Source organism: Homo sapiens, chromosome 1 (assembly GCF_000001405.40).
Source record: "Homo sapiens chromosome 1, GRCh38.p14 Primary Assembly".
Taxonomy (NCBI): domain Eukaryota; kingdom Metazoa; phylum Chordata; class Mammalia; order Primates; family Hominidae; genus Homo; species Homo sapiens.
In genome coordinates, this window is record NC_000001.11 from 120,748,441 (window position 1) to 120,768,637 (window position 20,197).

General features: G+C 38.0%; 2 protein-coding genes across 4 annotated transcripts in view; both read left to right on the top strand.

Annotated features, from left to right (window-relative positions):
• The window catches only part of NBPF26 (NBPF member 26), a 118,285-nt gene that overhangs the window by 24,496 nt on the left and 73,592 nt on the right, over window positions 1-20,197 (top strand). For all 3 annotated transcript variants that reach the window (NM_001405520.1, NM_001351372.2, NM_001395637.2), the window contains exon 2: window positions 15,188-15,269. In NM_001405520.1, coding sequence (NP_001392449.1) covers window positions 15,188-15,269 — 82 coding nt within the window. The remainder of the gene's footprint in view (window positions 1-15,187; window positions 15,270-20,197) is intronic.
• The window catches only part of NOTCH2NLR (notch 2 N-terminal like R), a 70,907-nt gene that overhangs the window by 24,496 nt on the left and 26,214 nt on the right, over window positions 1-20,197 (top strand). Inside the window, exon 2 of the mRNA NM_001396072.1 lies at window positions 15,188-15,269. Coding sequence (NP_001383001.1) covers window positions 15,188-15,269 — 82 coding nt within the window. The remainder of the gene's footprint in view (window positions 1-15,187; window positions 15,270-20,197) is intronic.

Sequence of the window (20,197 nt, forward strand, 5' to 3'; positions counted from 1 at the left end):
GATCATCATTTGTGGAGAGACTCTGAAGAAGGATAAAGCTCTGGCTGCATAGTCAAACCAGACCTACTACTCAAGGACATGCATACTAGATATGTAGGTGTTTCCAAATATTTTTTTCAGTTGTGGCGGTGCAAATCATTTCAATAGTAGAGTAACTCAGTTCATTACTGTTACTGGAAAAACAAGTTTAACCAAGCACATATCCTACTGAGGGTGAGTCAACAGTGTCATTTTAACATAAGAAGGACAGTACATGAAGTGAGTTATTCCAAGTCCTGTGGTTTTCCTACAGCTGAGCAAAGACAGCTGTTCTTTCGGAAGTGGGGCTCTAAAAAGAAGTTGCCCATCTCCTTTCTTTCTTGATTATAGCCTTTTAGTTTTCTTTTGGCCTGAGACATTTCAAAAATTCATTTCCTCCTTAGATTTCTATCACCAAATACCCTGAATTTTGATAATTTATTTATAGAGTATATTATTTATTATAGACTTATTATAGTTTAAAACTTTATTTTAATTTATCTCCCATTTCAAGATCCACATTTGCTATATGTGTCAGATAATAAAAATGCCATAAGGAAAACAGAGGAGTGATCTTTTTTAATATGTCATTATTTTCTATAGTTCTTTAGTGGTATGGACATGGAATAAGGTGGCATTTTGTGGGACAGTATACCAAACTTAGTGATAAAATTTATACTTTTAATTTTGGAGGACAAAAGTCTTGTATTCTCAGCCTTGTGGATAAGACAGTGCTCTGAGCTGTCTGAGGTTTCCTAAATTGGGATTCAACATCATGAAGGGTATGTGTCTGGATCGTTTATTTGTTGGTTTGGGAAGGTGAGTTTTTGTCTTTTTTCCCCCTCTGAGTTGATTTCTTTAGTTGGAGAGAAGCAGACCAGATGAAGAAAATACTTTATCTCTTATGGCATTTTTGGTTTACCACATTAGTTATGACCCGTCTTCTCTGAGCAGCAGGCCATGCTTCTCTGTTCAGTAGTTCAGTTTTCACTAACTTAACTGCAGATGTGTTCTTGGAGGGATTTATTTCTAATCAATTGAATTATGGGTACTTGGATAAAATGATGATGGGTTACCTACTTTTAATAGGGCCGTCATTTTTAAGAGTAAAATCTTGTCAAGATAGGGTATATCATACTTATGATCTGGTTCCATCTCTAACTCCATAATTTCCTTTTGCTCCTGTGTTGCTACTCTATTATTGAGAAGAGATGGTATCTTGTCAGTGTCAATTTTACAAAGAAAAAATTCTAAACAATTTCAGTCATAGGGTAGTTTTTTTTTTTTTTTCCTGGAGAAATAATGCATAGTGTAGTATGTTGAATCCTAGAGTTGGCAAGTTTTCAAAAGTGGGGTTCTTTTGTTGTGTAGGTAGGGGTGATGCTAGTCAATGGGTGTTAGTCATTAGGGCATGTGTATGAGTGGTAGTTCTGAGATACAGCATTGGCAGCCCCTCTTGTCCCTGGTTTTGTTTTTGATAAGCAAGTCCTGGTTTTGTTTTAATAAGCAGGTCATTAGCTGATCTTTCGTGTAAATGTTTTTGATGTGCATAGCTGGTATGTGGGTGGTTACCTACCTGAGAATGTTGTAGTCACAAATGTATATTATGGAAGTTTGCAGATTATGGTGGATATCAGGTTTTTCTAACTGCGTATTTACAGATGTAGTGAGTGAAAGGAATGTTGGGTCAGTAGGTAAAAGACTTGCGCTCTGGTCCTGGTTCAGACATCTTGATTTGTGTGACTTTGGGCAAGGCCCTTATTTCTTTGAGTTGCAGTTTCTTGTGTAAAATGGTGCTAATACCAATTTACATGCCTCATAGTGTTGTTGTGGGGATCAAACGAGATCACTGTTTATGAGCAGCCTTCTCAGGAGTGAGAAATAGAGGGTTGTGAGCTGACTTTCTGATTTGTTTGGCTGAGGTGTTCACACAAGCCATAGAATGCTTTGTAGGCTTGGGTGGAGGAATGTAGATGGAAATCAGCTGAAAATCCCTGCCTATTAGAAGCTGAGATGTTAATCCTAAATATATTCTGTGGAGTACTATCAGATGCCTTGCTTTTCTTCATGATGCCCTATTAGCTTCATCTTCAGGTAGCATAGGTGCCTGTTACTCTCATTTTACTTGAAGAAACTGACCAGCCAACTGATTTAGGATATGGCTGGCTATCTTCTGGAACTCACATTAGAGTTACTCCTTGAGAGTAAAGTCTTGTATTTTCTGAAGGTTGCTGCTTTTGGGGTATTTTCCGTGGAGGTGGGTGGGCACACATAAAAACTCACTGTGCTCAAATTTATAAACTTGTTCTTCTTAACAATTTTAAAGCCAGATTACATTGGATTGGGGGAGGGGAGGATACTAGATTTATTTAGTGTTTTTTAATATAAAACTTTGTATTTGAAACTTTATGTGGTAACATATATTTAGGCTCATAGCCAAAGTGATTACAATGCATTGGTTTTAATATTTTCAGTGAGGTAATGTGTGCTTTAGTGGGGAGGAGGAGAAATATTATTTAATCACCAGCACTACACTAATAACCACATTTACTAAATCCTTTGTCCCTTTGCTTGAACTGAGGGTTCCTTGCTTTTATACTGGTTTTCCAAAGGACTTCATCTTGTTAATGTGATGAGGTGATGATGGGAAGGACATTCCCACTGGGCCCGAAGTGGTGAAACTGGTAAAACTCCCTTTGTAAGTCCCTCTTGTTCAACATGAGTGTCACTCCCATGTCCCTAAAGTAGAATGGAGTTTTATTGAAGAGAGAATTTTAAGAGTGATAAACAAAAGAGATGGAAATATCTCCTGTGCCAGGTCATTGTTACCATTAAAGACTAGAATAAACTGTAATTTTGCAGATTTTCTTTTTGTCTTATGGGAAATTAAAGACTTGGTTATCCTCTCTCGGAGGAAGATAGAAAACTACTGGGCCTGCTCATTAACAGTTTAGCTTGGCTGACATTTTTCAAGCACTTACCATGGTATTATAGCTGGGCTGAAGCTAGGTGGAGCAGACCTCACTTAGGTGTTGCCTAGCTCCAGAATCTGTCTTCTGGTGGAATTCCCTTAGGCTTCCAGACAGGAGTGGCAACAAAGCAGATGAAATGGAAGGTAGGCCAGGGCATCTGCTCGTTCGCTCGCTCGCTTGCTCTTTCTCTCTTCCCTTTTCTTTCCTTTCCTTTCCTTTCCTTTCTCTCTCTCCTTTCTTTCTTTTGCTTCCTTCCTCTCTCTTTCCCTTTCCCTTCCTCTCTCTCTTTTCTTTTTTTCTTTCTTTTTTTTCTTTTCTTTTCTTTCTTTTCTCTCTCTCTCTTTCTTTAGCAGTTTATTACTCATTTGTGAGAATCAGGGAAGCACTGGGCTCAAGAAAGCCAATACCCCTTCTAGGGCTTACCCCCCATTTTAAAATTTAATATATTGGAATTTATATTGTTTCTTTTGATCCGAGATCTTCAGGCTGAAGCTGGAGAGAAATCTTTTGACCTCTCTAGAACAAAGAAAGCCTTTATCAAAGACAATGTAACTTTTTGAGTTTGCCAAATTAGGTGTTGCTGCAAATGGAGAAACCTAGAGTTCTCTTCTGTGCTTAAAGACACAAACATGGAAAGTTTTAAGTTCCAATATGGTCACTTAATATATACAAAATTTTCTGTCTTTGCTGTCTTTGTCATTCCAGCAACAACTGGATGAGCAAATAGAATGATTGTGAGCACTTGCAAACCAAATTGTGACTGTTAGTGTGTTGAGCTGCTTTTTTATTAAAATGACTGCTACAACTCTGCAGAAATCTGAGTAGTCTTGAAGATAAATTCTTGCTTGCATTTACAATAAAGAAAGAATATGAGTAATCAAAAGGCTGATGGAGTTGGAGGACTGGCGTTTTTAAGAGGAACTGATTTGGACATTGAGATTATCAGCTCCTCATCAAATATCATTAAGTACACATTATTATTTTTTTCTGTTGACCAGGAGACCCAAGTTGTGTTGATGTGGGACATAGTTGTATGTCTGAAGAAACAAAGCAAGGGAGAATAAAATAAATAAAAATTGAAGTTCAGGAATATATATATATATATATATATATATATATATATATTTTTTTTTTTTTTTTTTTTCTTTTTTTTTTTTTCAGGCAGAGTCTTGCTCTGTCGCCCAGGCTGGAGTGCAGTGGCACAATCTTGGCTCATTGCAAGCTCCGCCTCCCGGGTTCATGCCATTCTCCTGCCTCAGACTCCCTAGTAGCTGGGACTACAGGCACCCGCCACCATGCCCAGCTAATTTTTTTTTTGTACTTTTAGTAGAGATGTGGTTTCACCGTGTTAGCCAGGATGGTCTCGATCTCCTGACCTCGTGATCCGCCCACCTCGGCCTCCCAAAGTGCTGGGATTAAAGACATGAGCCACCGCGCCTGTCCGTTTAGGGCTATATTTTATGTTTTCTTCTCCCTTTGGTATTTAATAAAGATTTGATATTTTTCTATTATCTGCTTTCCTCTGTTCCAAGGTTTTTGGCCTCAGGTGTGTTCTCTGGAAATGGCAATGATAGGCATTTATAATCTCCATATTTAGATATTTCCCTCACAGTGCTAGTTTCTGAGCTTATTAGAACCTAATGTTAAATGACGAGTTAATGGGTGCAGCACACCAACATGGCACATGTATACATATGTAACAAACCTGCACGTTGTGCACATGTACCCTAAAACTTAAAGTATAATAATAAAATAAAAGAAATATCCTGGCTATGAGTCAAGGGTTTAGGACCTTTTGAGGCACTTGGGTTTAGACAATTCTCAGTGATGTGTACTGGAATTTGGGTACAGGAATACTATTCACAGGTGAACAGAGTTTGATTTTGGCTGAAGGCATATTATTTGATCCAGATAATAATATAAAAATAATCCAAATGTTAGGACCTTAGCTTCTGCGAACCCTGACTTGAGAATAGTTAGCCATACATGTAGTTGGACTTTATGTAGGACTAACCAATCTCCTCTGCACTATTTTTGCACAGTACATTGATTATGGTATCCCTGATGACCTCTGTCCCCATCCTTGTGAGTAGCCTTCATTGCTACCACCCAAGGATGTTTTAAAAAGGCTATGAGGAAGGATGCATGTAGGGAAATCTGAGGTTGTTCTTTGGATTTTCCCTGTTTTGTTTTAGGAAGTATCCATGATTTTATATAATAATATGTAGCAATCTTAGGTTTTTCCATTTTCATTTTTAACATAATTTTGTTATTCATTCTGTTTGGGTGTCTACCTCTAAATTAACAAACATGAGAAATTGTGTACTCCATTTAAAAAGTGTCCTGAGCAATTTAAGCTAAAAGAATATGTTGTTTCTTTTGGGTGTATAGCAAGAAGATTATATATATTTATAAATTTTTTTCCAGCAAGTGTACTTAAAAGCATGTACTTAAAATTAAGGACTTAAAAAAACTAAGCTGTACTTAACAAAATAATCTTTAGAAAGCTTTAAGGCCGGGCGCGGTGGCTCACGCCTGTAATCCCAGCATCATGAGGTCAGGAGATCCAGACCATCCTGGCTAACACGGTGAAACCCTGTCTCTACTAAAAATACAAAAAAAATTAGCCGGATGTGGTGGCGGGCACCTATAGTCCCAGCTACTCGGGAGGCTGAGGCAGGAGAATGGCGTGAACCCAGGAGGAGGAGCTTGCAGTGAGCTGAGATTGCGCCACTGCACTCCAGCCTGGGCGACAGAGCGAGACTCCATCTCAAAAAAAAAAAAAGCTTTAAAAAGGGAGTTTACTAAAAGCACAGGAAATTGGTGACAGGCAAAATTTGTCTTGATAATCGTACAAATACAGATAGTGGAACAGAACAGATAATACAAGATGTAAGACAAGACATGGAATAACACTTCATATTCACTTTCTTTGACCACTAAGCAGCACACAAATATATAGCACTTTTTGTAGAGAATAATTAAATTTCTAGATATGATACAGCTTCTTCCTCTCTGTTGGATTTTATTACACTGAGATCCTGAACCTTTTGGACATGTAAACTGTGATCATGTTGGTCAGTGTCATTTGGATCTCGTTGGTGCTTATTGTTCTGCCGATGTGTATTAGTGAACCTACTCATGGGGAAGATAATACTATACAATGAATTTTCCCATTCAGTTGGAATTTTTTTATTACTCTGTTTTCTATGTTTTTCATTTAGATGTAAATTATTTTGGCTTCCATTCAACCTATTTCAGCTAGTTTTTACCATAATACACATGGCTTAAGATTTATAGGAGGCTAAGAGTGGAGAGTGTATCTTCCTTCAAACAAATGGTAAGAAAGGAACTTTCAAAACTGTTTCAGTTTTGCAAAGATTAGAAAAGTACAATTCTACTTTCTCAACTTTTCATCCTTGTTAAAGGCCTGGAAATTTGCAGCATTTTGTTCTTTCTTATTTTACTTTTCTAATTTGTTACACAAAGTGAAATTCCACACATAAACATGCAAGCTGAAGGTTGGGTTTATTCATAGGTTTTGTCTTAATTATAGATATTTAGTTTATTGAATATCTTATTGAGTATTGAGTACCTGCTGTGGTCCAGGCATCTTCTTAGGTCCCAGGTGTACAAAGAGGAGCCAATTGTGGTTACTGCCTCTATGGAATTTGCCTAGAAGTGGGAGAGAGAGAGATGAGTGAGCCAGCACTTATAATACATCTACTTAGGATAAAATGGGAGCACAGAAGAGGAACATCTGTATCAGTGGGTCTCTGAGAGCTTCTTCAGGAAAATAATGCTTTATCTGTGATTTGAAATATAGTAGGAATTTAGCAAGATAGAGAAAAAGGAAAAGGAGGTAAAATATTTTTCAGGTAAAAGAATGTACATGGGTATAGAGGTGATCATTATTAGCAAATTGGCTACATCCTAATTTGTAAGTATTTGTGGATTTTTCAAACCTTATATTTCATGTAGAAGAGCTGAATGCATTAGTCTCATCTCCAAGATCCAGGTATTGAAATTTAACCCATGCATAAATTGAATTTTTTTCTGAAGTCTTTAATAAGAGAAAAATAAAAGGAAAAACTACACAGTATATAGTAGATTTCAATATAGCACAGCAAACACTGATGATTTTTTTTTGCAATAAGTTCAATATTATAAAATAGAACAAAATTGGAATTTTTAAAACCAAAAATTATTCTAGATTTATCAGCTAACTGGAATGATTTTTTTATAGTATGAAAAGTCTATTAGTAATACAAAAAATATTCATTTATAAGTTGTTATCGTTGATTATATTTTCTTAAGGTATATTTTCAGTTTTTGAAAAGCAGTAATAATTTGCTATGACCCTATAGCCCAGTTCTTAATATCTGGATCTGATACTAGCATCTCTTAGGTAGAAAACACACTTTCTATATGATAATATCTGTAAAGAGCACATAAATCCTTGGAACACTATTAGGAAAACAAAATCGATTTATCTCTTATTGCTTTTTTTTTTTTTTTTTTTTTTCCTTTCAATCAAGACAAATTTCAAGGAGGAAGACAGATGTTTCTCCACTTCGTTTTTATTTAAATGTACCACTTGGGATTTGAAGCTTCCGCACTTCTTCTGTTTGTTTGGATTTTTTTTTCATGGCTTGATCCCAAAAAATGGAACACAAAATTTAGAGAAAGTTTTGTTTGAAATTGCAGGGCGCTATGAGAATTATTGCAAATCCCTGATGTCTCCTTGTCTGCCCTCAATTCTCCTATTTTTGGTAATAATGCAGGCAGTCATTTTAGAAAACTTTGCTTTGTTCATTTTACTGAGCCTCTTCCAGAGGCCATGTGCCAGAATCAACAGCAGCCAACCACAGCCAAGATCCTAGGGCGTAAACTCAGACTTCATCTCTCAAATATTGCTACTTGAAATTTGCATAAACGTTGAAGAAAAAGTTAAAAGAGCCTGTATAACTCCTCTTCATGTATTTTAGGAGCCTCAGACAGTCAAGACGTTAAAATACCTTCCGATTGAGCAGTGGGTCTAAGCACAGATACCACACTGCAGATAGGGAGAAGGATATGAAAAAAATCATGTGAGATAGACGACAGAGGCTTATTTGAAGAAGCTACAAAGCAACAAGTAATGCCAGTTTAAAACGATTACATGTTAATGCAACAAGTAAAACACATTGAAGGCTTCTCAGATTACACTGGCTGAAGTACAGACTTAATTACTCATGTTAGAGATTCCTAAAACAAAGGGAGGCTTTTAAGCCAGTGATATGTAGCTGGTATGATACTGAAAAGCATTGGAAAACTTAGGTAAATGCCTAGAGGAAATTTTAAGGAAGATTCCATCAAGTCTGGATACCTTAGCCTTATCCTTAAATGAATAAATTTCTGAGGCGCTGGAACTGGTTAAAATCAATGGCAGCTTATTCTGTTGTTTGCAGTTTTTATGTACAATTGGGGCTGATAAACCTGAATAAATAAAAGAGCCTTGTCTGGATTGAGTTACAGTTAGTGCTAAACATCAAGGGTTCATATTGTATTTCTTAAAAGTTCTTTTTGGAGTGATTCCAAGATTGGTATTAAGAGGGTATGCCAAGGGTATATATTGGCAATTTTTATTTTGTTTGTATTTATCTTAGAGTCATTTGGGTAGGTCACATTCTCTCTGCCCCTACTCCCAACTTCTCATTAGATTGTAAGGACCATGAGGACAGAGATTGTTTGTTTTATTTGTGCTTAATTTTCATGCAGTGCCTAGTAGGGGACAATGCTGACAGTAGTTTCTCGACAAATATTAGTGGAACTGTATTAAAATTGAGTTTTTGCTCACATATATTGTTTATTTTACCTTTAGTGGATCACTTCTCCTTATGCCTTCAGTGCTATAGTTTTTTAAAAGAAGTATGTTAGTCTGTTTTGCATTGCTCTAAAGGAATACCTGAGGCTGAATAATTTATAAAGAAAAAAGGTTTATTTGGCTAATAGCTTTGCAGATTGTACAAGAAGTTTAGAGCCAACATCTGCTTCTGGTGAGGGCCCAAAAAACTTTCATGGCTGAAGGTGAAGAGGGAGCAGGTATGTAACATGGCAAGAGAGGAGGGAGCAAGAGAGATGTCAGTCTCTTTCAAACAACCAGCTCACATGGTAGCGAGAATTCACTCATTACTGTGGGTGGGCACCAAGCTATTCATGAGAGATCTGCCCCCATAACCTGAACACCTCCCAGTAGGCCCCACCTTCAACATTGGGGATTACGTTTCAACGTGAGATTTGGAAGGGACAAAATAGCCAAACTATATCAAGCACAAAGAAGATACAGAGATAGTCAATGGTGGAGCTAGTATTCAAACCCAGATTTGTCTGATTTCTGCATCCGTGCTTTCAACTGCTTAACTGCATTGCTTCAAATACTCAGAAAAGACGAAATGTTTTCCATATCCCAGGAACTTAAAAGTGAAAAAGCAGAGAGCTAGAAGACCATGTAGTGCTGAATTGAGAGTCATGAGTGTTACAAGGATAGGGGGTGGTGGCCCTGTGAGGACCAGAACCCTCCAGGGGAAGCTTTCTGGGTGAGGCAAGAGGTGAACTGGGCCTTGAAGGAATGGGTAGAATTTAGATAGTAATGAGGAAGGCAGAAATCAGTGGAAGCACAGACATGCATGGAGGAATGGAACTGAGTTCAATGACGATCTGTTCAGGAAAGAGGGCATAAACTGGGCAGAGAATGCAGTGGAAGTGGTGGGGAGTAATACTGGGCAGGTAAGGTAAGCTCTGATCTGGAAGGCCAGCATGGGAGCCTAGACTGGTTAAAGTAAGAAATGGCTTGTCCTTGGAAGAAAAAGTGTCAAACTTGGTACTGTGTGAAGGTACTGCACAGACCTCCCAACTGGTTCTTAAGAGAGCCAAACTGAGGCTAAGTTCTGAGAACTAAGTAAGAACTGACAGCCCTTGTAGGTTAGAAAGTAGTGGGGCAACATGTTACAAGTAGTGCTTCTGGAAGGTTAGATGCGGTTAGAATAAAATCATTGCCATTTTGGGGAGCTGGGAAAATGGATGTCTTCAGTCTAGTCTAAAAAGGGATGACTTGAATAAGCTTATATAAGAAAGAAAAGAAAAACCTTTTTACTCACTGGACCATTTCATAATCTTGACTTTTCTCAAACATAAATCTGTGTCATTTTTCTTATTTAAAACAGCTGAGTAGTTTACTCTCCTACTTAGAGCTGTGATTCTTATCATGGGCTCTTGTGATCTAACCCCAGCCTGCCTCCCTGGCCTCTGTCCTTGCTTAGTAACCTCTAGCCATATGAACCTGGAATACCAGTCTAATTCCCACTTCAAGGCTTTTACACTTGTTGTTTCCTCTGCCTGGGGTGCTCTTCCCTCATATCTTCATGACACTTGTTCATTTACATTGTAGCTCAAAGCATACCTCCTCAGGGAGGCCTTTCCTAGACACTATCTGAGGTACACTCCTGCACCCCCAGCCTTCATGATTGCTTTTTATACATTACTGGGTTTTGTTTCCAATGGAACTTATCGCTTATTACTGTCCTAAATTATTTTATTAATTTTTTAGCCACCTTTCTCTTATAGAAATAAGGTTCCTGAGGACAGGGAGTTTATTCTGTATACTACGGTATCCCTGACATCAGGGCTTGTGCCTGCCGATAGTAGATGCTTTCTAAATATGTTCTGAATATTAGATAGCTAGTTCCCAAATGCACTGCACTGAAAGTGTATGAAAATTGGAAATTGGCTTCTAGATTTTTGTATTATATTGCCAAATGATGGAGTGATGAGATTGAAATCTACTACTTCTTTTTGCTTTTTTTTTTTTTTTTTTTTTTTGGTGGAGTAGAGGAGGGCCTGCACAAACAGCAGAGACACACACAGTAAATAAGATTTATTTCAGCCAGCAAGTATTTATTGACATGAAAATTGGGGTTAAATGTGACTCTTTGTGAGTGACTAGTTTCTTGGAGTCTATTAAAGCATCAGTTTAAACATCAATTCTCTATGGTATGATTAATGTTTCTTTTTTTACTTTATAAGCATGAAGCTGCCTTCAATTTTATTGTTAAATTTAAGTGTTTTACATTGGAAAAAAGTAAATTGAATTTTGAAATGAGGTCTGTCCCGGTCTCACTTTCATGGCTTCAGGTTATCAAAGTTTTAATTTCTCTTTGTGTGGAAGATAATTATAGTATTCATTTTTGCTCCTGAGTAAAGCCACAAGTCTCAAGATTATTTTTCTTTTTTTAAAAATTAGAATTGTCAATTTATAGTTGTATACATTTATAGGGTACAAAGTGATGTTATAATTTGCTAATACAATGTAGAACAATTAAAAGGTAGTGTATCCTTCATCTCAAATATTTAACATTTTTTGAAATTTACTCTCTTAGCAATTTTGAAATGTACAATACCCTATTATTAACTATATTCACCACTCTATGCAATATATCTCAAACATATACAAAAAAATTCTTCTTGTGTAACTGTAGCTTTTTGTACCCATTGATCATCAGGCCCACAGCTTCCGTAACCACCATTTTCCTCTCTGCTTCTATGATTTTGATGGTTTTCAATTCTACGTATAAGTGAGAACATGCTGTATTTGTCTTCCTGTGCCTTATTTCACTTAGCATAATGTTCTCCAATTCTATCCATGTTGTCTCAAATGACAGAATTTATATCTAAAGGTTGAATAGTATTCCATTGTATATATCTACCACAGCTTTTTTTTTTTTTTTTTTTTTTTTTGAGATGGAGTCTCTCTCTGTCACTCAGGCTGGAGTACAGTGGAGCAATCTCGGCTCACTGCAACCTCCGCCCCCCAGGTTCAAGTGATTCTCCTGCCTCAGCCTCCTGAGTAGCTGCGATTACTGGCGTGCTGTAATTTTTGTACTTTTAGTAGAGATGGGGTTTCATCATCTTGGCCAGGCTGGTCTTGAACTCCTGACCTCGTGATCCACCCGCCTCAGCCGCCCAAAGTGCTGGGATTATAGGCGTGAGCCACTGTGCCCAGCCTATCTACCACCTTTTATTTATCCATTCATCTGTTGATGGACACTTCCATAACTTGGTATGGGTGTACAGACATCTTTTCAATAAACTGATTTAAAATATTTGGGGTAAATACGCAGCAGTGGGATTACCAGATCATGTGGTGATTCTATTTTCAGTTTTTTGAGGAACGTCTGCACTGTTTTTCACAATGGTTGTACTAATTTACATTCCCATTAACAGAGTAGAAGGGTTCCATTTCTCCACATCCTGTTTATTCAGACAATATGTTATCATCTAAATCATCTAAGACCTCTATATTATATAGCTTTTGAGTATTTTTAAAAGTGGACACTCAAGCGTTCATATAGTCATAGTCAGTGTGTGGTTCCTCAGACCTGTGGTATCAACATCACCTGGGAATTTGTTAGGAATGCAGATTCCCAGGCTCCCTGCGGACTTAGTCAGAAATTGTGGGGGTCGAGTCTAACACTCTTTTTTAAAAAGCCCTCCAAGTGATTCCAATGCTTACTAAAGTTTGAGAACCATGGCTCAGTAAATGCTAAAGGTTCAAGGTAGCATGATCCCACACATCAGCCAAGTGGCATTAATTATTAGCCTGGTAAGCCCACCTTCTTTTCAGTCACTGAGTTTGATTGGTTCACTAGGGCTAGGCTGTAAAGTTATTTGCTAGATTGATTGCTACATATTGACTTTGGGTTGCTTGTATTTCTCTGAACCTGTCACTGTAATGATTTGTCAGGACACTTAATAGGAACAGGCCGTGATTTTTGCACCCATGGCATTCTGAGTCATGGGTGGCTGGGTCATTATGTACTCCAGGTTTCTTCAGGCACTGGGCATGCCATTCATGTACTTATAAGGAGGGAGCTGTTGCTGGTGGATCACAGGGAACCTTTAGGGACATTTAGTTCGCTCTCAGCTTGGTACAGGTAGGGAAATTGAGCCCCCATGAAGTTGTGCTTTGCTTGCAGTTAGGGGTACAGACAGGATTTCAGGTCTCCTGAGTCCCTCCACTGCACCAGGATTCCTGCAGGGGGACAGAGCTACAGCTTTTTCTGTGCCTACAGGACATTCCTTTCCTACTGTGAGGGTTTTATTTATTTATTATTTTATTTAAAGAAAAAAAGTAAATAGAAAAAACCCCGGAAGTTCTCACTGAAACTAATAAAAGTGTCTAAAGAGAATGAAAAAATCAGTTTGAGAACTTTGGTATGGAGGAAATAACCTGACATTAACTGTTTTAATTATAGTTGTTGCATTGGGCTTATCAGTGTGGGAAGAGGGAGCATTTGAGCCTTACAGGGAAGTGGGATATGGACAACAAGATGACCCTCTTCCTGAATTTGCCTGTTTGGGCCTGCAGCCTGGTGACTCTTTGTGTGATCCCAACAGCTGTCATAGAGATGGGTTGGACTTTTACTGAGACCTGGGTCCTAGGCCCAGCACTGCCACCAGCTAGTGGCGCAATGCCCCATAAAGAGGCCACTTATTCTCTCTGGCCTCTACTATTGGTAAATGGGTATAATAATATCCACGCTGCCAATCCTGAGAAATTTCAGGTAATGGGAAGCAGTGTATCTTGGTGGTTAAGGGCAGAGTCTCTGGATTCAAATTCTGGCTTTCTAACTCACTGGCATGGCAGTAGGCAGGCCACTTATCCTCCCTGTTTTCTCACCTGAGAGTGGGTATAATGAAATTTACTTCTAAGGGTTGTTGTGAAGATTGAATTAGTTAGCTAATTTATGTAAAGTACTTAGGATAGTGCCTGGTATTTAGTAAGTTCTATGTGTTAGCCTATTATTATTATTACTATTACCATTTAAAAATATTATTTCAAGGATGGGATGCATTTTCTGTAAACATGTTCTCAAATGATTCTACTACTGGATACAATACTGGGCTTTTATGCAGTAATTGTTGTTGGAGGAGTTGTTCTGACATCCAGCTTGCACCTGGGCTACTGGTTTCGTGGCCAGGGATGGCCAGGCCTAGCGTCTCTCTGATCTTGCACAATTTATGCATAGAGTGGTGTGGTTAGAGGAAACTTGGAGGGGGGAACTTCTCAGTTTTGCTTTCAGGTATTTATACATTAACTATCATAAGAGATGGACATCTTAATAACTTCCAAGAAAGAGTTCATGAGCTTCAATTTGATATTTATTGTTTGACTAGGTTTCTTTCTGTCTTACCTTTCCAGTTGTTAGGGTTCTTGATATGTATTTTGGTGATGAAAATTTCAACTCTAAAAGCTAAACAATCAAGATATTGTAATTATCCAGCAAGTGATTGGCAGATTTCGAGTAGACTTCTTCCATTCTTGGCTGAAATCAATGAAAATGTCTACTATTGCTGTTGTTTTTGTTCTTTTCTCTGAAAAGTCTGTTTTTGGGAGGGCCTCAGATGGTAAAGTGCCTTTTTATTGTCTCTTAAAGGGAATGGGGGAATCAACAGTTTGAGAATTTTTGTTTTATCTGTATGTATAAAATTGCCTTCTCCTTTTATTTCTTTTGATACTCTCTCTGCAGTCTCTATTCATGATCTACTCCCCATCTTTTTATGGGCCCCTTAAAGCTAGAGATTATGTTTATTCGGTTATTTATGTATTCCATTTCTCCTTTTTTCTGGATCCTAATTTTGTGCCTGGTGCATACTAGGCTCTCAATTTTAGTTTGTTGAATTACTGTTATTGCTGTTTCTGATTACTTCTTGAAGCGGTCTGTTTTAAAACTTCACCTGAAGGCTAAGTAATTCATCAGTATAATGGTGATCTATTATTTATCTAGCATTTTCCTAAACACTCATTGATGAATCCTTATAATACTCATCTGAAGTATCTAAATCCCAAGATGATGTGTCATGCCATAGATGGTATGGCTTTAATTTTTAATTGGGAGATGGAGATGTAACAGCTGGAGATACTAAAACACAGAGAAATAAGAGCATCATTCAAGACCACAAATGTGGTTATTGTTGGAAGATAGTTTTGGGATGGGCTTCTGTGCTAGAAGCCAGAACATAAAAAACTGATTAAAACTCTAAAAAGAAACCCAGATTAGGTGGGAATGAATGCTGATCTGGATTGGATTACACTTCTTTGGTGTCTGAGGGTTATGATTAGTGACTTACTTCTAATGTGCATTTGTTTTTATTTTTAGCATTGCAGTGTCGAGATGGCTATGAACCCTGTGTAAATAAAGGAATGTGTGTTACCTACCACAGTGGCACAGGATACTGCAAGTAAGTTTTTCTCTTCATATATTTTCTTTTTGCGATAGAACACTGGACAAGATTTGATTCTACTCCTCTATTTTTAATGCTTCTGTGGAATGTTACTGGTTCTTGAGCTTTCCTGGTACAGATTTTGGTTGGGGGTGAGGATGGAAGGATGTGGATGCCAGATAATTGGCTAATAAGAACTTCTTACTATCTTACTGTTATCTTTCTCACTATGAAAAAGACTTTTCAGTGAGTGGCTAGTTAATGTATATGGGGTAGACCAGGCATGGTGGCTCATGCTGGTAATCCCAGCACTTCAGGAGGCTGAGTTGGGCGAATCACGAGGTCAGGAGTTCAAGATCAGCCTGGCCAACATAGTGAAACCCTATCTCTACTAAAAATACAAAAATTAGCCAGGTGTGGTGGCGCATGACTGGAGTCCCAGCTACTCGGGAGGCTGAGGCAGGAGAGTGACTTGAACCCAGGAGGCGGAGGTTGCAGTGAGCTGAGACCACATCATTGCACTCTAGCCTGGGTGACAGAGCAAGACTCCGTCTCAAAAAGAAATAAAAAAAATATATAAAAAAATATATATTAGATTCCCTTGTGTTTTTCAGATTAAGGCATACTCTTAGAGTCTCCCCTTAACATGTTACCTATTATCTTGTTTTTAAGTAAAACCAAATAGATATCAACTTTAATATTCGGCCCAGTATATGTGAATATTATATTCATATTTTTTTCTAGTGTAAAAAATCTAATTCTGAAAGTGAGACAGTGAGAGAGGAAGATGTGTGCATGTGTGTAGATTGAGGGGGAGCAGGGGCTTTGGGTGTGTATTATTATATGGGGATAAAAGAGTAAGGATGAAGGAAAATGTAGGCTAGTTCTTGGCTTAAGAGCATTTTTTTTTTCCTTTTTCTCCAACCATCTACTCTAGCCAAGACGTTTTGTTTGTTTGAGGAAGGCTGTGAGATAATTTCATAATAGCTTTTCTAGGTTTCCTGCAAATAATTTTTTTTCTTCTGCCTCAATTGAAAATTTTTAAGAGGAATATGTATCCATTCTTTTTATTTCAGGGAAGATGCTGGAGAAATAAAATTTGGTAATATGAAATTTCTCTTCTTTTCCTTCATTTTTGTGAGGAGTAGTTGTTCTTTGCTTTGGTGGAGGTACTTGCTTAGTAAGCATTTTAAGTGAGTTTATCCAACACATTTTTATTTCTTACCAGGAATGTAATTACAACTTTTTTCCAGTGAGATCTGTTCTGACACCAGGATTTAGTTTTTTAATGTTATAAACAAGATTTTTTTTTTCAAGTCAGAAATAATTTTCTTCACTAAAGTGAAAATATTTTAAGCTGTGATGACAGTAAAGCTTAACAATAGGTTGTTTGGATTGGAATAAAGATAACATTGGAAATAAAGGTTTTATGTAGCTTATTATGAGCTGCTCATTTAGTTTTTCTAGCTGGGGGAAAAAAAAAACATGTGGTGCATTCTCCTCTAAGAATGGAGATACAACTGGAGATAATAAGGGAGGGAACTTAATACCTTAGAGTAGGCCACTGAAATCTTGTTTAGTCTTTTTGTGGCATTTGGTGCCTTAGTTGCTTGCTTTATTCTGTTATGCAACTCTTGTGGTAGTTAACCCCATTGCATTATGGTCATTTGTTGATGTGTTTCTTTTGCTAGAATGTGAGGTCTTAGTCTTATGCATTTTTTGCATAGTTAATGCCTAGTACAGTGCCTGGTGTAGTTATTGTTCAGCAATGTGTTTCTTAAACTAAAAGGTGCTAAGTAGATACCATCATGCACATGTTTCTTATCTATTTATGTTAAATAAGAAGACACTGGTTCTCTCCTTTAAAAATTTCAGTGTGGCGATTCCTCAAGGATCTAGAACCAGAAATACCATTTGGCCCAGCAATCCCATTACTGAGTATATACCCAAAGGATTATAAATCATTCTACTATAAGGACACATGCACATGTGTGTTTACTGCAGCACTATTTACAGTAGGAAAGACTTGGAACCAACCCAAATGCCCAACGGTGATAGACTGGATAAAGAAAATGTGGCATGTATACACGATGGAATACTATGCAGCCATAAAAAAGAATGAGTTCATGTCCTTTGCAGGGACATGGATGAAGCTGGAAGCCATCATTCTCAGCAAACTAACACAGGAACAGAAAACCAAACACGGCATGTTCTCACTCATAAGTGGGAGCTGAACAATGAGAACACATGGACACAGGGAGGGGAACATCACACACTGGGGCCTGTCAGGGGGTGGGGGGAAAGGGAGGGGAGAGCATTAGGATGAATACCTAATGCACGTGGGGCTTAAAACCTGGATGACGGGTTGATAGGTGCAGCAAACCACCATGGCACATGTATACCTATGAAACAAACCTGCACATTCTGCACATGTATCCCAAAACTTAAAAGTAAAATTTAAAAAAAATTTATTTACTTCACATAGCATTCAGGGTGGTAATACCATACAGAGAGGCAAATTGGTTCTATTTGAAGATCATTCAACTTGGTGACTTATATATGGAGAATTTCAAATATGTTCTAAGTGTTCGCCTATATATTTTTGGTCTGACATGGGGAAAGAAGGTTTCTAGGGGAGACTAATCTCTGAGCACTTACCAGGAGAGGACACCTAAGGGTCACTGTTGGGAAGAAGTCCAATAGTTCTTTGTTGGACTGTTGGGCTGCTAGTCTCATACTCTCCAACCAAGGTTGGAGACCATCCTGGCTAACACGATGAAATCCCATCTCTACTAAAAATGCAAAAAAATTAGCTGGGCGTGGTGGCACGCACCTGTAATCCCAGTTACTCGGGAGGCTGAGGCAGGAGAATGGCCTGAACCCAGGAGGCGGAGCTTGCAGTGAGCCAAGATTGCACCACTGCACTCCAGCCTGAGCGACAGAGCGAGACTGTGTTTCCAAAAAAAAAAAAAAAAAAAGAAAATGGAGCTGCCTAAATTCTGTCCCTGGCTACTTGTTAATTGTTGATAGGATGGAATGCTTATGGATACAGTTCTGGGTATGTCCCTCAGATGTCTTTCCTGTTTTGAGGGAAACAAACTCCTTGAGAGAGAGTAAGAAAAAATTTGGTGAGGCCATCCTTTTGGGAGACCAAGATGAACAACAAAACTTGTATAAAGAGAGTGATTCCCTACCTCAGCAAAAGTAATATTAGCATATTTAGGAGTGGCAGGGTCAACATAAGTGGACAAAGAAAAAGCAAGAACAATATCAAGGCAGCCATGTCAATCATTCTACAGTGCTTTGCCAGCCTCCACAGAATTTTAAGCAAAATTTTATGCAAAAATAATGTGTACCTAGCAGAGCTTTCAGTGTATTTTCACCAACCTTACCTTTTTTTCTGTGGAGAAAGAAGATGATCTAGCTTGTTCAGTAAATATTATTTTCACAAAATAGAAAATAAATATTAAAACACTTAGAAGATTTAAAAAAATTCTATCAGGCATGCAGGGCATGTGATTATCTTTTTATTCATGCGATTGCTTAGTGGATTAAGAAAAGAAAGTTGAAGCCAAATTCCTTTTACAGGGCCAGCGTGGGGGTGAGTGGTGAGTGGTGGGATGGGAACTGGTAGAAAGTGTTTTAAAATAGAAGGAATCTGACTATCTGTTTAGACAGCATAATGCTACTGATTCAGCTAAAATATAATGATTGTTTATAGAAATTATAAAAATCCTTGATAAGATCACATTGACAGATGAAGATAACTACTTTTGAAGATTAGTTTTGTACTCAGCTCCACTGTTTTTTCTCACTGTTAGGAGCCTAAGTACCCTATCAGTCTGTGATTAGATTTTGATGCCAGATTAGGAGAACGTGTATAATCTTGCATAAAACTCAATTATTGCTGTTAAATAACTACTGTCAAATCTTAATAAAGCCCTCTCACTACAGGGAGATAAGATATTTTATTCTTTCCCTTGTCCTACTGGGAGGTGTAAATATGTAATTAAATTTGATGTCATTAATCACTTTCAAGTTGTTGTTTGCTTCAGACTTTCAAATATAAACCATTCTAAATCCCAATTTGATTAAAGATCATGGACAACTCAAGTTCACTAGGATTCTGGGGGTAGGTTAGGTTATGATTTGTATAATTGACAAAATATGTATTTTAAGGACATTTATTGTAGTTATTTAAAATCTTTGTCTGCTGGTTCTTAACAACTGGGTTGTCTATGGATGTGTTTCTATTTCTATCAACTGCTCCTTCTTTGGACCATGGGTATGACTTCCCTTTACTTTACACATGTATGGTAGTTTTACATTACTTACTGGACATTGTGGGTGATAGATTTTAAAGTTTATCTCCCACTAAAGAATGTTGAATTTTGTCAAGATTGGCAGATCATCTTGATCCTATGGATGCTAGGTTTTAGGACACGTTAGGGTGGGCCTACTTCTGTTCTGCCCTTAGTCCGATGACACAAATCTTAGTCATGGGATAGGGCTCTTATTCCCAAGATGGGACCCTTCTAGGGGTTCAGTGGAAAGTGTGAGGGGCCTACCAAGCCCTGAGGTGTTCATTAAGCCCCTCTAAGGCAGAACTTGTCCTCCCAGCCCCAGGAGCCTTCTGCTCAGTCTTTTCAGCCGTCCAGCTCTTACTTTCTCTTGGGTTTCTGAATCTTATCTTGCTCATGCATAGTCAGGAATTATTTAAGGATTTGAGCAGAGTTGTATGCATACTTTGAAGCTACCCACTCTGTGGTTCTGTCTTTTCCAGGAATTTTTCTCCTCATATTCTAGCTGCTGTGACAGCTCCAGATACCTCTGACTCCTCAGTATCACAGGACTTCCGTTTTCTGCTTGCACACTCTTCCTCTTCTGCTGCATGAACTGGGGTGTACCTTCACGATAAAAAAAAAAAACAAAACTGTAAATGTGGG